A 19,863-nucleotide genomic window follows, 5' to 3' on the forward strand; every position below is an offset into this window, starting at 1 on the left:
CAAAGGACATAAAATCATTATGTAAAGCGATATCTGCACCGCCATGTTCATTAAAGCATTGTTCAAATTACCTGAGTTATGGAATCAGCCTGTATCTGTCAACAGATGAATGGAGAAAGAAAATGTGCTATCTATACACAATGAAATACTATTTAGCCTTTAAAAAGAAGGAAATAAAATCATTGTTACAACATAAATAGTTAAAATGTAAAAAGTAAACATTGCAAAATGTTTATTTGACAAATTGATTAGTTGGCAAAATGCCTTTCAGTGAATTGGCTTTGGTAAAATGGCTAAACAGATTGTGGCATAGTCAATGAAACAATGCATTATAGTTTAAAAGAATGAGGTAGATCACACAATGTGATATGATACTTTAAATAAAGTAATTAGTAAATTAGTAAAAAGTGAATTAGTAAAAAGTAATTAATAAAATTAAATAAAAAATAAAATAAAAAGTAATTAGTAAAATTAGTAAAGTAATTAGTAAAAAGTAAAAACCACACAAAACAAAATGGCACATTTCTTTAGGTACAAAGAGTTAGGATACACTTTCAAATAATGATAGACTGTCTTTGGGAGAGGAGAGACTTTTGCCCCAAATCTTATAAGTAAAATTTAATATCTTTTTCAGATGATTAAAATTAAATTTACATTTATATGTAGCAGGAAATTTAATTTATATCTTCCCCTTATCTTGAGACTTTGCCAAAGGTCCCATGCTAAGACCATGACTGCTGAGGCCCCAAACACTCTAGAGCAAGGTGATAGACCACAACACTGACTCAGTGGTAATGTAACAGAACTTGTGGACTTTGGCTCATACTCAGCTGCAAGCTGTGCAGAGTTGAAAAAAAATCAAGGAAGCATTTAGGAGGGCAAGGTCAATAAGTAGGTATTCACTTTTTGGCCCAAAACTGGGCCAAAAGAGTGTTGGACACCCTCCCACTTCTTCTCTAGGAAATTGCCAAGTGCTTTCCCTGCACATAAATTAAGCCAGGTAGGGGTGACGTGACTTGGAATCTTCTGCTGCCACAGGAGTATGATGGTCCAGAGAATTTGAGAATGTAAACAGTGTCCCTTGGTCTTGCAGAAGTACCAATTACTACTGTGCTTGACTGAAGAATCAATAAAAATTGTTGAGGGATGCTGCTGTGATAAGCAGAATAATGACCTCCTCCCTGAAAAATGTCTATGTCATAATCCCCAGAACTTAAATGACAAAAGGGAAATCAAAGATATGATTAAGTTAAGAATCTTGAATGGTTAGATTGTCCTGGAATAATCACAAGGGACTTTATAAGAAAGAGACGGGAGTATCAGGATGAGAGAAGTAAATATGACAATGGAAGCAAAGGTTGGAGTGATGTGCTTTGAAAGTGGAGGAAAGGGCCACAAGACCAGGGGTGCACGCCACCTCTAGGGGCTGGAAAAGAAAACGGATTTTCCACGAGAGACTCCAGAACAAGTGTAGCCCTATTAACATCCCAATTTCAGTCCCATAAAATTAATTCTGAATGTCTGACTTCCAGAACTCTAAGATAAGTAATTTCCTCTATTTTAAGCAAAAAAAAAAAAATGTGTAGTAATTTATCATAGCAACAGCAGGAATACAGCTACTGACCTCAGGTGACAATCGGTGTTGAATAAGTCATGTATATGTCCTTCCATCCTTCCTTCCTGTGTCATCTGATCCTGGATGAAATAGAAACAAAAGCAGGTTAAAAGACAGGGGGGAAAGAAAAATGACCATAACAGCGAAGAAAATAAAGAAGAAAAGAGCCCAAAGGGAAGAAAACAGACCACACCCATTTTCCCACTTCAGATTCTCCAGTCTGTGTCAGTCTTGAGCTGAGGAACAGCAGAGAACTTTTGAATTAAGATACAGAACATTTGATTTAGATCAACCTGGAATTTTCTAGACCTAAAAAATAAATATTCCTTTAATGCCTGAAAATGATCATAAAGCTGTGAGTTTAAGATATTTTCCTTAAGAGCTGGGAAAGAAGAGCAGGTTGGAAGAGAAAAGGTGAGAGATAAAGATAGTTATTCCCCTATTGTTCCTAGAATAGCAAGTCCCTTCAATATTACACACACATACACTCCGTCACCCTGAAAACATATAGTCTGTTGGGGAATGACTTTGGAGATAAGGGATAAAAGATTTTCTCATTTTACTTTATAGAAGCATCTGTTTTCAAAACAGTTAAAATGTATGTTCTACTTTTAACAATTCCAATAGTCAAAGAAATATCTGTCTAGCTTATTTAGTTACAGATGTAGATATTGGTGACATGAAGGGACTTTGTTTTCCATCTCAATCGCCATGAGGCAGAGCAACCCACACATCTAGATGAGGTGAGAGGTGAGAAAGATCAATAATTCAGTTAAGCAGGAAATGAGTGATTTAGTTCTTCAAATAATTGTAGCATCCCTTATATTTTGCCTGGTAATATTGGCATGGGTATCAGTGGAAGTGATATGTTTCCCATCACTCCCAAATTTCAGATGGAAAATTTGTGTGTATGTGTGTGTGTGTGTGCGCGCAAAGTCATTTTATTCTCTTCCTCTGACGTTCCTTTGGACTTCTTCAGAATGTGCCAGATGTCCACAGATTATTCAGTTATCTAAATGATTAAATTATGTAGTATAGACTACCAGAGAATAAGACAATTGGAGTAAATCATTAATTCTATGGTGTCAAGAGTAATTGCAAAAGAAGGAGACAGTGGAGGTTCGCAGAGGCTGCACTTCTGGGGACAGGGGAATAGTATGTGCAAAGAAATGGAAGTGGAATGTTACAGCTGATAATGTGACATGTGCTTATTGTAAGGTGAAGAAAGCAGCTGGGCTGACTCCTTAATGCTAGCCTCCACACCACAGGATAAACGTTCTCTTCCAGATAAGTCATTGAGTTAACATGAATACTTTTTATCCATCTTTGCATTCACATTCACGTTTATAGACTTCACGCTTGGTTTGTTTGCTTTCACAAAAGATAAATTTCTCATGTTTGAAAAATTCTAAGTTATTGGGCTGGGACACTCATATATCCTCATAATGTTAATTGTTCCAGAAACTATTATTTCTGGTCACTGCCTGACTTCTGTGTTTCTTGGCTGTTACAGAGAGGCTAAAGTGTCAACCATCATTCTGTTAGAATTGCTTAGTAATGCTTGCGTTGAATTGGCTACATAGGAAGCTTAGCTCAATGCCTATGTGCTGGTGTGAAATGTGTTGCTTCTGTGATATGCCTAGTATCTGCCAGCTAAAAGAACAGAAGACCTTCAGGGAACTAGAGTTTCTGAGAGCAAGGTGAGAGGATTATGCATGAAGACACTGGGCTGTCATCCATGATGCGGGTGGGTGAGAATTCTCTCTACGTTATTATAAAATATAGCAACGGTAAATATAGAACAAGTTGTCATCTTACAAAATAAGTTTTTGCTACAAATTTTCCCCCAAGTTTTTTTCTATTTGAAGACCTTGCATGACTTGCTTCTCTTATAGCTGCTTTGGGCCCTAGAGTCTACATTTCATCCTCAGTGCCATGATCTCTGCCACTTAGCAGCATTTCGTTTTCACAATTTAGTGACATGTCTGTCAAAAGCAATGGACTAAATTGCTCAGCAGTTAATTTATATTAATTTTGAGAAATGCATTTCAGTTTTTGATTATGTTAATAAGACTTTTACTTTGAGGGTAGAATATTCTAGCAAATGAAAAAGATGTTACAATCTTTAGCCAAAAAGAAACCACATATTTTGCAAAGGAACAGAAAGGATTTTGAAAGAGCCCCAGCGTCTAAAAATCTTTTTAATTGAAATTCTTTTAAGTGTGGCTCATAGTTTAATGGGCCTTATATGGCAACATTGCTCCCAGATAATGGCCATTCCTAAATATCATGACATTAAAGCATAGAATAAAGAATGTTCTATGACAACTTTACAATGTATTGCATACACAAATTGAGGTAATGATAGCTAGGTGTTTTGTGCTAATGGAGTCATTATATTGATCCATGGTGAGACAGAGATACCAGCTCTCCCTTTGCTCAGTATTATAAACTACAACTGTAATTGTTAACAAAAGAATATATGGAAAGAGAAAGTTGGTGAGAACCTTATTTACTTCCTATGTCAATATTTTCTTTTTTTAAATTTTATTATTATACTTTAAGTTTTAGGGTACATGTGCACAATGTGCAGGTTAGTTACATATGTATACATGTGACATGCTGGTGCGCTGCACCCACTAACTCGTCATCTAGCATTAGGTATATCTCCCAATGCTATCCCTCCCCACTCCCCCCACCCCACAACAGTCCCCAGAGTGTGATGTTCCCCTTCCTGTGTCCATGTGTTCTCATTGTTCAATTCCCACCTATGAGTGAGAATATGTGGTGTTTGGTTTTTTGTTCTTGCGATAGTGTACTGAGAATGATGATTTCCAATTTCATCCATGTCCCTACAAAGAACATGAACTCATCATTTTTTATGGCTGCATAGTATTCCATGGTGTATATGTGCCACATTTTCTTAATCCAGTCTATCATTGTTGGACATTTGAGTTGGTTCCAAGTCTTTGCTATTGTGAATAGTGCCGCAATAAACATACGTGTGCATGTGTCTTTATAGCAGCATGATTTATAGTCCTTTGGGTATATACCCAGTAATGGGATGGCTGGGTCAAATGGTATTTCTAGTTCTAGGTCCCTGAGGAATCACCACACTGACTTCCACAATGGTTGAACTAGTTTACAGTCCTACCAACAGTGTAAAAGTGTTCCTATTTCTCCACTTCCTCTCCAGCACCTGTTGTTTCCTGACTTTTTAATGATTGCCATTCTAACTGGTGTGAGATGGTATCTCATAGTGGTTTTGATTTGTATTTCTCTGATGGCCAGTGATGATGAGCATTTTTTCATGTGTTTTTTGGCTGCATAAATGTCTTCTTTTGAGAAGTGTCTGTTCATGTCCTTTGCCCACTTTTTGATGGGGTTGTTTGTTTTTTTCTTGTAAATTTGTTGGATTTCATTGTAGATTCTGGATATTAGCCCTTTGTCAGATGAGTAGGTTGCGAAAATCTTCTCCCATTTTGTGGGTTGCCTGTTCACTCTGATGGTAGTTTCTTTTGCTGTGCAGAAGCTCTTTAGTTTAATTAGATCCCATTTGTCAATTTTGGCTTTGGTTGCCATTGCTTTTGGTGTTTTAGACATGAAGTCCTTGCCCGTGCCTATGTCCTGAATGGTAATGCCTAGGTTTTCTTCTAGAGTTTTTATGGTTTTAGGTCTAACGTTTAAGTCTTTAATCCATCTTGAATTGATTTTTGTATAAAGTGTAAGGAAGTGATCCAGTTTCAGCTTTCTACATATGGCTAGCCAGTTTTCCCAGCACCATTTATTAAATAGGGAATCCTTTCCCCATTGCTTCTTTTTCTCAGGTTTGTCAAAGATCAGATAGTTGTAGATATGCGGCGTTATTTCTGAGGGCTCTGTTCTGTTCCACTGGTCTATATCTCTGTTTTGGTAACAGTACCATGCTGTTTTGGTTACTGTAGCCTTGTAGTATAGTTTGAAGTCAGATAGCGTGATGCCTCCAGCTTTGTTCTTTTGGCTTAGGACTGACTTGGTGATGCAGGCTCTTTTTTGGTTCCATATGAACTTTAAAGTAGTTTTTTCCAATTCTGTGAAGAAAGTCATTGGTAGCTTGATGGGGATGGCATTGAATCTATAAATTACCTTGGGCACTATGGCCATTTTCACGATATTGATTCTTCCTTCCCATGAGCATGGAATGTTCTTCCATTTGTTTGTATCCTCTTTAATTTCATTGAGCAGTGGTTTGTAGTTCTCCTTGAAGAGGTCCTTCACGTCCCTTGTAAGGTGGATTCCTAGGTATTTTATTCTCTTTGAAGCAATTGTGAATGGGAGTTCACTCATGATTTGGCTCTCTGTTTGTCTGTTATACTCAACTGTGTCATAAATATTCAGCATCAGAATAGGTGTGTTTTTGTGATTTTAAATATGAGAGACTCAGAGTTCAAATTCAGGCTTGCCTTATAAACTTTCAGACCCTCAATTTTCTCACCGACACAAATTAAGATTACAGTACCCATCTTTCTGTTCCTATCTTTCTGCATTACTGTGAGAAAAACATATTTACATGACTTTGAAATGACATCAACAAGGGACAAGGTGGCAGAGTAGGAAATAGCAGTATTCATCCCCCCAACCCCCTCAACAAAAGCAAAAAAAAAAAATTTAAAACCAAACAAACAACAACAAATGGAGAATATACACACAGAAAGAAATACTGGTGAGATCGACATCCCTGAAATGCCAGTAAATGTCTAAGAACAAAGAAGAAAGGCAGAGGCTGTAGGTATCAGCCATGTGGCTGGAACCACCTTGGTTTCCAGTGGCCAGCTCTGTTGAGAACACTGGTTCCTTTTGTAACTGAGGTAACAAACATCCATTTCCACCAGGAAACTCTAGAGAGGAAGAGTTGGGTACACAACTCTAACCCCATAAAAAGCAGCCATTGTTGAGCTGCTTTGGGAAAAGAAATGCCACCTCTCCAAATCTTCTGTATGCCCCAACTCCAAAGCTATGGTTATATCCAAAGTGCCCATACTCCAGCCCTGTGCTCTGTGGTTGCACTTTAACTGCTTACATCTCAGAAGCTAGAGCACTGTCATAGCAAACTAGTTTGCACTCCAAGCCCCAGAGCCAAAATCTCTCTGAGCATGCCTGCATTCTGGACACCAGCTCAGCTGCCATAGAGAGCTTGGCTGAGGCCAGGCTCAGAGGCCACGCCCAGGGCCACTGTAACTTTGCACACAACTATGTTCCTATAATAGGCTCCCTGAATACTTCACAAGCATCTGTCCCTTGCATACTGTTACCAATGCAGCAGAAGGGTGCTAGTACTCCAGACACCAATGCCATTACTGTCCGAGATTCCAGAGCTATCATCTCTCCATGTGTGTTCATGCTTTAGGCTTCAGCTCAGTGACAACTCAATGAGTGCTACTCATCAGACACCAGTGCCACTACTATTGTGAACAAACTCACAAGTTGGACCTACTGCCAAGAGGGATCCCCTCAGCCAAAAATTCCCTTTTGGAAGAAAAAGACACCTTATCTGCCATCACTAGAGACCCTTTAGACTCCAATTGGTTACACCCTGTGAAGGACTGGCCCACAACTAACCAGTGGCTGAAGTGGAGACTTGGCCTACAGCCAAGCAGAGGCTTAAGTGGAAACTTGTTATCACAGGAGTGAGGATGTGGCCTGTATGCTGCTTACTCTTGCCTAGAATTGGATGCACCTGCTTGTTTTTTTGTTTTGTTTTTTTTTTTTTTTTTGCTTATGTTTTAAACCTTGGTTACCCTAATTTCCTATTCTTCTGTCACACAATCATATAAAAATTAGTGATGAACTATTTTACATTCTTTGTGTATGTGTGCCTGTGTGTATTATAACCATTTTATTGTGGTGTGATTGGCATACAAAAAGCTGTACATGTTTAATGTACACAACGTGATGGGTTTGGAGATAACTATACACATATGAACCACCACCACTGTCAATGCTGTAAATGTATCCATTACCTCCAAAAGGTTTCTCCCAACCCCTTTGGGTTTTTTGCTGCTATCGCTCTGTTTTGGCTTTTCCTTTGGTGGTAAGAGTACTTAACAGAAGACCTACTATTTTATATTTTTATTACTAAGTATTTGAAATCCAGTGTATAGTTCAGTGTATCTATATAACACATCTCAATTCTAACCAGCCACATTTCAAGTGCCCAATAGCCATATGGCTAGTGGCTTCCATATCAGCTAGTGTAGCTTTAAAGAACTAACCAGGCAAACTAGGGAAGAGAAGTTATACAGACAGTGAGAAGATTCCAGTAAGTGCAAAGTATCAAGGTGAAGTAGAGAAACTTAAATAGCCTGTCTTACAGAGAGCACGGGTTTCAGGTAAAGTAGCACGATACAGAGCTAAAATCACATGGAATTTTAGAGTTCATGTTAATGCCATGTATTGTGTTCTTTATTCTACATGTTATGAGAAGTAATTGAAAATTTTACGTAGGGTATACAGGTACTGATTCAGATTTCAAAGGATTGCCCTTGCTGCTCTAGGAAGAATGGATTGAAGGGGCAAGAGTGGATATGAAGGAGAACATCCAGAAATTATAATTAGCACTTGCCATTGTCCAGGCAAGAGCAGGTGATAACAAGGACTGTGGAATGCAGTGAAGAGATTCAAGATATTTAGTAGATACAATTAATTAGACTTTTTTTTTAACCTTTGTAGACGGTCTGGCTCCATTGACTGGCTGGAGTGCAGTGGGTGATGACGGCCCACTGTACCTTGAACTCCTGGCTTAAGCAATCCTTTTGCCTCAGTTTTCCAAACTGCTGGGATTAGAGACGTGAGCCATCACACCTAGCCAGGCTTTTCCTTTTATCTTTTCTATTTGAGAAGGGAATTACCTAGAAGAGAGGTAAAAGCTATTTGCATTTGCTTTGTTTCCAGCTTTCCTGGAGAGGTAAATGTTATGCAAAGTCTGAGGGACAAAATTGGTCAACTCAGAGTTAGACAAGAGCCAATTAAATTATTTAGTTGGATAACTAGACATATATTTTGAGGACTGGATACATAGTAGTTGAGCTGAAATAAATGATCTGGTATGGTCTTTGAATTTCAGAGGACACCATTGATCCTTGCAGATTGTCAGGTTCCGGGGACGGCTCAGATTTATAGCTTCAGGGTTTGGTTGCCCGGCATATAACTGGCACTAAATAAATGTTTCTTGAATATGCTTTGTTATGACCCCCTTTCTTCCCATGATGAGGTGGTAGCTAAGACTGACAAGCCAGGCAAATAGACCTTCAGCAGTATTCAATTTGTGCACCTGTAATTTTTTCCCCATTTTCACATTGACCCTTGCCTTAATTAATGATTGCAAGGCCTGGGTGTGGCCCATGCACAAGCAGCCTTGAGTCCAAACATGGGTTAGTGAATTTTTATGGTTATTTCTCACTATTAAAGTCATAAGCACATTTAACAAATCACTTTGAACCTAAAAGGTAAAAGGTTCAGATTAATATTACTAAAATGTAGTTATAAATTGTATTATGTAAATAAGAGAACAAAATCCATTGCAATTAATTCTATCAGTAAAATTGGATCAATACAAGGTTTTCATACAATGCTTCCATGGCTTTTATCTTGGTGACACACTTACATCTAGGATTTTGTGAAGAAAAGCCTGTTTAGACTTGACTTTTCCATCCTTCTGAATTTTTTTTATGCAAGTCACAGCCACAGTTCCTTTCTTTTGCACGTAACAATAATAAAATATGACATCTTAAATATTCAGAAAAACCTACAAAGTTTCAAACTTTCAAAGCTGTCTAGAGCACCTGTACATCACAGTGATATGAAAATCATCCCTCCTCAACTGTAATTGTATTTTAATGTAAAATAATATCAGTGACTTAAATATGCCTAAATTTAGGAACTAATAAACCAACATTATTTTAAAGTGTCTATCATGCTGCACCTTGTACAATTCTAGAAGTGTTGAGAAATTAAATCCTTACCCTCAATAAACTGACACTATGGCTGAGAAAGCAAAGTGAATTAAAAAGAAAAACATTCATGATAACATATGTGTTATTAGCCAGGGAAATTGAGTAGCTTTGTATTTACTGGATAGGGAAAAGATTTAATGGGGATGTTTGGCTTGTTTTCTTTTGGCTGAAATAAGGAGTAAATTAGATAAGTGAAAGAGGGCTGAATTTTCCTCTTTGAGTGTTTTTACCATAAACATGATGGAACCAGAATGAAAAGCATTCTGTAGTGGGGAGGTGGTTCATAATAAGTCTGCTAACAGATTGGTTGTAACAGTACTCTCAGAGACTGTGTTGGTCCATTTTTCTTGCTATAAAAAATGCCTGAGGTAAGAGGTTTACTTGGTTCATGGTTCTGCAGGTTGTACAGCAAGCATGGCACCACCATCTGCTCAGTTTCTGGTGAGGGTCTCGGGAAGCTTACAATCATGGTGGGAGGTAAAGGGGGCAGCCCACATATCACATGGAGAGAGGAGGAGCAAGAGAGAGAAGGAAGAAGTCCCAGACCGTTTTAACCAACCAGATTTCTCATGAACTGGGCAAGAAATCACTCATCACCAAAGGAATGGTGCTAAACCATTCATGAGGGTTCCACCCCCATGATGGAATGCCTCCCACTATGGCCTACCTCCAACATTAGGAATCACATTTCAACACGAGATAGAGAGGGAACACACATCCAAACCATATCAGAGACATTTAATAACATAGTGTTACATGAATAAACTATAAAATGTGACAGTTATTTATATTTTTGTCACATTTTGACACTAGTTACTTTTTCTTACCTATAGAGTCATTTTGAAATTAAGGACAGATAGGTGATAAGCACTCTGCTAAGTGTTGTGGCCAAAAGAAAGGGATAAGAAATAACTCCTGTCCTCAAATCATTCTCTTCCAGTATCATTTTCTTATTTGGGGCCATCATCATTTTTCATTTGGACTTCCAAACTAAACTCCCTAATCTCTCTCCCTGACAATAAATCATCCACAGGCTTTCAAGGACAGTTTTCTTAAGTACAAATCTAATCAAGTTACTGTTCTGCTTAAAATTCTTCAATGAATTTGTGTATGTTGCATAAAATCTTGGTTCTTTAATATGACATAGACATTTCTTAACAGTTTTCATTTTTCCTGGCCATCTTGTTTATATTGAAGCCACACAAAACTATTTACTGTTTCCCAAATCTACCTTGTTCTTTCATGGCTCTGGTTCAAGGATAGTGACTTGAGCATATTTTCACTGTTATATACCATTTTGATAAGGTTTGGCTCTGTGTCCCCACCCAAATCTCATCTTGAATTGTGCTCCCTTAATTCCCATTTGTTGTGTGAGGGACCCAGTGGGAGATAATTGAATCATGGGGGTGGTTTCTCACATACTGTTCTCATGGTAGTGAATAAGTCTCACAAGATCTGATGGTTTTATAAGGTGAGAAACCCCTTTCACTTGGTTCCCATTCTGTCTCTTGCTGCCACCATGTAAGAAGTGCCTTTCACCTTCTGCCATGATTGTGAGGCCTCCCTAGCCACATGAGACTGTAAGTCCATTAAACCTCTTCCTTTTATAAAATGCCCAGTCTTGGGGATGTCTTTATCAGCAGTGTGAAAATGGATTAATGCAGTAAACTGATATCAGTAGAGTGGGGTGCTACTGAAAAGATACCCAAAAATGTGGAAGCAACTTTAAAACTGGGTAACAGGCAGGGGTTGGAAGAGTTTGGAGGGCTCAGAAGAAGACAGGAAAATGTGGGACACTTTGGAACTTCCTAGAGACTTGTTCAATGGCTTTGCCCAAAATGCTGATCATGATATGGACAATAAAGTCCAGGCTGAGGTGGTTTCAGATAGAAATGAGGAACTTGTTGGGAACTGAAGCAAAGGTGACTCTTGCTATGTTTTAGCAAAGAGACTGGTGGCATTTTGCCCCTGCCCTAGAGATTTGTGGAACTTTCAACTTGAGAGAGATGATTTAGGGGATCTGGTGGAAGAAATTTCTAAGCAGCAAAGTGTTGAATAAGTGACTTGGGTGCTGTTAAAGACGTTCAGTTTTATAAGGGAAGGAGAGCATACAAGTTTGGAAAATTTGCAGCCTGACAGTGCAATACAAAAGAAAATCCCATTTTATGAGGAGAAAGTCAAGCTGCCTGCAGAAATTTGCATAAGTAACGAGGAGCTGAATGTTAATCCCCAAGACAATGGGAGAAAATGACTCCAGGGCATGTCAGAGGTTTTCATGGCAGCCCCTCCCATCACAGGCTGAGAGGCCTAGGAGGAAAAAGTGGTTTCATGGCCCAGGACCAGGATTTCCAGGTTGTGTGCAGCCTAGGGACTTGGTGTCCTGTGTCCCAGCTGCTCGAGGCATGGCTGAAAGGAGCCAACACAGAGCTCTGGTCGTGGCTTCAGAGGGTGCAAGCCCCAAGCCTTGGCAGCTTCCACGAGGTGTTGAGCCTGTGAGTGCACAGAAGTCAAGAACTGAGGTTTGGAAACTTCTGCCTAGATTTCAGAACATGTATGGAAACGCCTGGATGCCCAGGCAGAAGTTTGCTACAGGGACAGAGCCTTCATGGAGAACCTCTGCTAGGGCAATGCAGAAGGAAAATATGGGGTCAGAGCCCCCACACAGAGTCCCTACTGGGACACCACCTAGTGGAGCTTTGAGAAGAGGGCCACCATCCTCCATATCCCAGAATGGTAGATCCATTGACAGCTTGCACCATTTCCTTGGAAAAGCCACAGAAACTCAATGCCAGCCCGTGAAAGCAGCCAGGAAGGAAGTTGTACTCTGAAAAGCCACAGAGGTGGAGCTGTCCAAGACCATGGGAACCAACCTCTTGCATCAGTATGACCTGGATGTTAGACAGAGTCAAAGGAGATCATTTTGGAGCTTTAAGATGTGACTGCCTCACTGGATTTTGAACTTGTGTGGGGCCTGTAGCCCCTTTGTTTTGGCCAATTTATCCCATTTGGAATGGCTGTATTTACCCAATGCCTGTACCCCATAATATCTAGGAAGTGACTAACTTGCTTTTGATTTTACAGGCTCACAGGCAGAAGGGACTTGGCCTTTCTCAGATGAGACTTTGGACTGTGGACTTCAGAGGTAATGCTGAAATGAGTTGACTTTGGGGGGACTGTTGGGATGGCATGATTGGTTATGAAATGTGATGACATGAGATTTTGGGAGGAGCCAGCTACCGCTCATAAGGTTTCACTCTCTGTCCCCACTCAAATCTCATCTTGAATTGTACTCCCATAATTCCCATGTGCTATGTGAGGGACGCAGTGAGAGATAATTGAATCATGGGGGCAGTTTCCCTCATACTGTTCTTGTGGTAGTGAATAAGTTTCATGAGATCTGATGGTTTTATCAGGGGAAACCCCTTTCATTGGCTCTCATTCTTTTTGTTACCACCACCATGTAAGAAGTGCCTTTCACCTTCCACCTTGATTGTGAGGTCTCCCTAGCCATGTAGAACTGTAACTCCATTAAAGTTCTTTCTTTTGTAAATTGCCTAGTCTTGGGTATGTTTTTATCAGCAGTGTGAAAATGGACTAATACATATTTTAAAATAATACATTTAACTCATCTCCTTACTTATTTTCTTTTGTTTTGGAGATGATGCTTGGACTGAAGCATCATAGGTTTAGATTTCAGACTGTGATTGCTAGTGTAGACATGCAGGGTGTGATATATGATGGTATAGGGCTTCAACTATTGAACTGAGAATTTGGTAGCAGTGTAGAGCTGATAAAGGTTAGATTTTCATTTTAAGTTGTTTGTTTCTAGCAATTTGCTTAAAAGAGTGTCTCAAGGCTGTAGTATCAATTGCACCAATGTTAGATTGCTGGTGCCTCCTACAACATTTAGGAATGTATTGCAGTAATACAGATGTAATATGATTATATCCTGTATTGGGGTAGGCTTAGAAAGAAAAGGTGAAAACAATCACATTTAAGGTAATTTAACTTGAAATCCGAACATAGAAAGTACACAAATAAAATTATTCAAATTTTTTAAAAATAACCAACAATTATAATAAAAATATAGTAATGTATGATTGTCCTATGGTGATAGTGTGATCTGAATGCCTCTACAAAAATTGGTTAAACTTCCAGAGATGACTGATTCCTGATGTATAGACCAGAGGTTCAAAACATAACAAACAAATATTCCTCTGTGAGATTCTCTCTTGTTGTGAAAACCTAATAAATATAATAGAACAAAGTTGTTTACTACTGAGCAAGTGATACATAATATTTCCATTCTTCAAGAAACTAAAAATTCGGAAAGAACACACATCTAAGGAACATTCTCTCTACCTATATGTCATTTTATTAGTTAGTGGTCAGAGCACTATGGGGCACTGTAGAAAGATATAGTTATGTATGCTACCTTGTTCTGGTATAGTTTTGCTAATAGCTGGGTAACTACATAAAATGGAAGTAGACAAATGGGAATGCTTTCCACTAATTTCTAAAGATTGGGGCTTCATAATAGTTCAACTAAGTAAAAATTTAAAGAGGATTAAGTACGATTTTGATACAACAAGAAACAGGTGGTTTTTCTTTTTCTCAGAGTGTCATTATAGTTATCTGCAGCTTAAATTTGGAGGTAAGTCAATCACTGTATGTTCCTAATCTTCCCGTTTCCTGCCCCCTCCCCCAATTTCCAGTATTTCTCAAATACATAATCCTATCCCCTAGTTAAGCATCAGTCTTTTCGATTTTATTTGTGAGTCTCTGGGAGCCAGTACATTGGCTTTGTGGTCTGGTATTTTTGACATAGAAGCTTCAGGTGAGGAGAGAGGTTTATACAGAAGGAGATAATTTGAGGGTATAAAGATAAAGATGTGAAGAAAGAAACGGTAGACATGAGGAAGTGTTTGATAAAAAAAATTCACACATGAAATGTCAAGGGGATTATGACATGTTTATCTGTAGTTGGCCTAGAGGCATCTCTTGAGAGTTTTTTTTTTTTTTTTTTTTCTTAATAACCTTTACTTCCTTTGACAAAAGTCCTATTACTATATTATAGAGTCCTGGTACTCCATCATACAAATGATGAACAGACAAAGTGGAAGGCAAATTTTTAGTAAATGACTCAGTATTCCATCAATCTCTATTAATATAGTGTCTACCACCTGAATAGATAGCAATGTCAAACCTGACCTTGTTGTCACAAGTGTGTTATGGTGCCAGCCACTTTGTAAATCACGAGCACAGGGTCATCAAATGAAGGCTTATGTTCTCTGGCTGAAGAGTTGTGTAGTCATACTATTTATCATAAAGATCCTTTTATTAGTTCACTTTCAAAAAATAAAATATAATCTGAGCATCTGATTTTTCCTTTCATGTGGCCTATCTCAAAAGAAAAAAACCTGAAATAATAGAGATTTCTCAATTATTAAGAATTTATATGAAATTATTAATCTGATAAATTTTACCCATATACATTTGACTTAACTTGCATTTATATTCAGTGAAGAGAATGGTTTACATACACAATACGCATCTCCATTAAATAAGTCTTTTATTAAATACTATGTAAAACAATCCTTAATTAATGCTTACTATGTGCTGCACTGTGCAAAAATTAACTGTAATTATTGCACTCCATTTTACAATTTAAGTAGGAACAGATTTCCATTGCAAATACTCAGCTTTCACACACAGGTGAATAGATGGCATACAGCAGATTTTACTGCTCATCAAAACTTGATAATCTTGTCAGCTGTGAGATCTTTTTGTATTGACATTTTGCTTCTGCAAAACGTTTTTCTGAATGGCAGTGAATTTCTATTTCCTGTTTGGGGTAACTCACTACTTACAGTTGTAGGGAGCTCAAAATTGACAATAAGAATTCTACTATAGAAATCAGATGATAATATAAATATCTTGTTTGATGTTCTGAATGTTTGCAATCAAAATTTTACATGTCTATCTGAATAGCTATAGAGGGAAGCAGGAAAACTAAATTACATGTTTAAAAGAGTATAAAAGGGAGCTATATATAGGAAGGATTGCTAGATGGGTTAACAAAATCAAATCTTTCTATCTTCTACAGGAATAGGAATTTTAGCTAGGCACATGGACATCAAGTTGAAGATTACTTTCTTGGACTGGAAGGAAGCAATATACGCTATTTCAGAGTTATGTGGTTTACGAGAAAAGGGGCAGGTTCTTCCTATTCTTTCCCTATTGTAATTTTGTTGGAGTATGGATGTAATGGTGGGGGTTAGAACAGCCATCTCAGACCTGAGATAAGACCTGCATGAGGAAGCTGGCAAAGCCATAAACTGGCAGGGCCTGTATTATTTGATGTCATGAAACAGATTGCTTCCACTTGGAAAGGGTTATATATTTGCCGTTTGCCTGAGCCACTGCTATTTTTTCATTTTTTGTAACAGCCACACCACACCCTAAAAAATACAACATCTAAATCATTTCAAGAAAATATCCAAATCTTAGTGAAAGAAAGATTTTTGGGGACCAAATTAGCCAAAGTTACTGTCTGACTTGAACATGTTAATAGTAGATCAGCGCCGTCCAACAGAACGTTCTGAGATGATATAAATGTTTTCCATTATCCAATTCAGCAGCTATTAGCCACGTATAGATATTGGACATGTATATATGATAAGTTATATTAGATTCTGCTATTGAGTTTTCCAAATTGTGCAAATTTGCCTCCCCATTTGCAGTTTATGAAATTTCCATTGTTCCTCCTGCACTCCAATTCTTAGTTAGTACTTTTAATTTTAGCCACTTTGGTAAGTGTGTTGTTTTATTTTAGTTTTAGCTTGTAAATTTCCCTTATCACTAATAGTCTTAGCATATTTTCTTATGTTTAATTGGCTGTTTGGGCGTCCTTTTTTAAAAATTGCTTGTTAACACCTCTTGTTCATTTTTCTACTGTTTTTCTTTTTCTCATTCCTTTACAGAATTAAAAATGAATTCTGAATATAATTCCCTTTGTCATTTATATGTGTTACAAACTTACTGTTCTAGTCTAAGACTTTTCTGTTTGGTCTCTTGATGGTGTCTTAATAAACAGAAATTGTTAATTTTATTGTAATCTAATTTATAAATTTCCCCTTTATTCATGTATCTTGCATTCTATTTAAGAAGACTGACCTTAACTTCAGCCCATAAATAAATTCTCCTGTATTATCTTCTAGTAACTTTTGTTTTGTCTATCATAATTTGATTGAAATAATCCAGATGTTACTTTTACGTACATGGTAAAAGACAGTATTCAAGTATTTTTTTCCCACATGTATATCCAGTCAGCCCTAGCACCAGGTATTAAAAAGACTGCTTCTACAAATTTGCTCTGCAATGCTATCTTGTTGAAACTCAAGTGTTCATAATATACCTGAGTCTAGACTCTTTTCTATCATTGTCTATTTTTATTGAGTTTTGTCTTCATGCTCTATCAGTAATTAAGAGCAATACTAAAATCATTCAGTATCTTTATAGACTGGCCTGGTTTGTCTTATACTTTTGTTAATTTTTGGAATTCTCATATTTCCTCTATATGTCTACCTTATATCATTATCTCTAGTAATTGTTTCTTCCCTACAGCTACCATATCATAGGCCAGCTTTTTAAAAGTTAGATTTACAAGTCATATGTTTATTTACTAATGTGTTAGATGTGTTTTCTAACATTTACAATTTCACTCATTATTGTTCATAACCTAAAACCTTTTTTCATATTATTGTAACATTTAGCCCACTTACATTTAATAAATAAATAACATATATTTAATTTATAACTACCACATTACAAAGGGCTATTTGACTCATCTGCCTATGATTCTTTACTTTCTATTTTCTTGCCTTATTTTTATTTAAGTGTTTTAAAAATTATTGTCATGATCTCAATTTGAAAGTTATGCATTCTTTTCCTATTCATTATTTACCGTAGTATTACTGCATGTCTCCTTAATTCATCAAATATAATGCTAAATTGTGATTTTGACATCTGTCCAGACGTTACATCATTCAAGTCTATCTTCTCTTCTTCCAACTTGCATGCCATTGTTGTCACATATACTAATTTTCTTTTAAATATACAAATCATTTTTTGCAGTAAACAGCCACTATTCTTTTAGACTTTCCAACATACGTATCCTTTTCTTTAGTATTTAATTTCTTTTTTTCCTCTGAGATTTGATTTAGAATCATTTTTCTTCTAATTCCAGAATATAGATTAGTCTATGTCTCTTAGTTTATATATAACACACACACATATAACTTTTAAATCTTACATAAAGTCCAGGCACTATCTAGACACTAGAAATACAACAGTGAATAAAACAAACAAAATTGCCACCTACATAAAGCTTACATTCTAATCAAGGGAGACATGTGCATAAGTCAAATATAAAATATATTTTATGAAGTATATCAGGTAAGGCAGTAGAGAATATTCATGAGGAGGGGATGGGTATTCTGATCTATGGACTTTGAAAGCATAGCATAGCCTAAGCATAATAAATACCAGAAAATCCATACCTAGATATGTCACTGTGAAACCAGATTATCAATGGCAAAGAGAAGCACTTAAAGGCAGATAGAGTAAAAAGCAAATAACTTGCAAAGGAATGACTGTAAGCCTGACAATAGACTTTTTTTTTCTTTTTTTTAAATTATACTTTAAGTTCTGGGGTACATGTGCAGAATGCGCAGGTTTGTTACATAGGTATACACGTGACATGGTGGTTTGCTGCACCCAACCCATCATCTACATTAGGTATTTCTCCTAATGCTATCCCTCCCCTAGTCCCCCATCCCCCAACAGGCCCCAGTGTGTGATGCTCCCTTCCCTGTGTCCATGTGTTCTCATTGTTCAACTCCCACTTATCAGTGAGAACATGTGGTGTTTGGTTTTCTGTTCTTGTTCAGTTTGCTGAGAATGATGGTTTCCAGCTTCATCCATGTCCCTGTAAAGGACATGAACTCATTCTTTTTATGGCTGCATAGTATTCCATGGTGTATATGTGCCACATTTTCTTGATCCAGTCTATCACTGATGGGCATTTGGGTTGGTTCCAAGTCTATGCTATTGTTAACAGTGCCACAATAAGCATACATGTGCATGTGTCTTTATAGTAGAATGAGTTATAATCCTTTGGGTATATACCCAGTAATGGGATTGCTGAGTCAAATCGTATTTCTAGTTCTAGATCCTTGAGGAGAAATCACACTGTCTTCCATAATGGTTGAGCTAATTTACACTCCCACCAACAGTGTAAAAGCGCTCCTATTTCTCCACATCCTCTACAGCTTTTTATGAGAAAAATGGAAACCAGAACACCTCAGAATAATATCTTTAAACTATTTTGGGAAAAAATTCTGTAAACTTAAAATTGTGGTCTCATGATTGCATACAATATTTTAAGGAGGGTGAAATAAGGGCTTCTATAAATGTGAAAATCTGAGAGAAATTACCACTAATAAATCTTCATTAAGAAGATTTTGAGAAATGTACTTCAGGAATCAAGAGACGCAAAAAGCAATGGTAAACAAAGAAATATGTAAGCATTTAAGTTAAATATAAATAAGAATGGTCTATCAAAAACAACTTTAAAAATCCACTTTGTGGAGTTAGAAAGGCCAACCCTGAAAAACAGTATTCATATTTTAAGGCAGCGGTGATGACTTAAAATCTTATAAGACTATAACACTCTTCCTTGGAAGAAGATATAAAATATTAACTTTACACTTTGTAAAATTCCATAGGAAATTACGAAGTGTAAACAACAGGATAGAAAAATAGAATTTGTAACTTTAAAACATGTGGTTTGAAAATATGTAATAACATAACAAAGAAACAATTTACAATCAAGAATAAGTGGAAAAAGGAGGGCAGAATTATAGAAAGTAGAAAGCTAACAAATTCATGATACTATTTTAAGTAAAAAAGCAGCAAACTAAAATTATATAAATTACAGGTTTGAGAGAAGACAATGGATGAAATTTGGGGGGACAGGAATATACAGACAATTACAACAATATGGGTAATGTTCTATTTCTTATATTTGATGGTGATTGATGGGAGGTTATTTTGTTATTTTTCCATATTTCCATAGTTATACACCAAAAATATAATACTTTAGGAATTTAAAAATTATATGAAGTGGCAATATCTATGATTCAAATTAGAGAAAAATACAACTTGTATGTTTTCTCCGTTTTTCCTCCTCACTTA

The 19,863-nt window shown here is 37.0% G+C and overlaps 1 long non-coding RNA gene across 4 annotated transcripts in view, besides 1 other annotated feature; it reads left to right on the forward strand.

The window, feature by feature from the left end:
- The window catches only part of LOC105375369 (uncharacterized), a 36,563-nt gene extending 23,644 nt beyond the window's left edge, over window positions 1-12,919 (forward strand). For all 4 annotated transcript variants that reach the window (XR_927704.3, XR_001744958.1, XR_001744959.2 and 1 more), the window contains one exon: window positions 12,688-12,919. This is a non-coding gene — a long non-coding RNA (uncharacterized LOC105375369). The remainder of the gene's footprint in view (window positions 1-12,687) is intronic.
- Window positions 8,204-8,746: an enhancer, noted in NCBI's record as "OCT4-NANOG hESC enhancer chr7:79295772-79296314 (GRCh37/hg19 assembly coordinates)". NCBI's record gives its function as "activates a minimal SCP1, AML or CMV promoter by ChIP-STARR-seq in primed H9 embryonic stem cells {active_cell/tissue: H9 hESC(primed)}" and the evidence as "EXISTENCE:reporter gene assay evidence [ECO:0000049][PMID:30033119]".
- Window positions 12,920-19,863: the final 6,944 nt, after the last annotated feature.

The sequence above is a fragment of the Homo sapiens genome, chromosome 7 (assembly GCF_000001405.40).
Source record: "Homo sapiens chromosome 7, GRCh38.p14 Primary Assembly".
In the NCBI taxonomy this organism is placed as follows: Eukaryota; Metazoa; Chordata; class Mammalia; order Primates; family Hominidae; genus Homo; species Homo sapiens.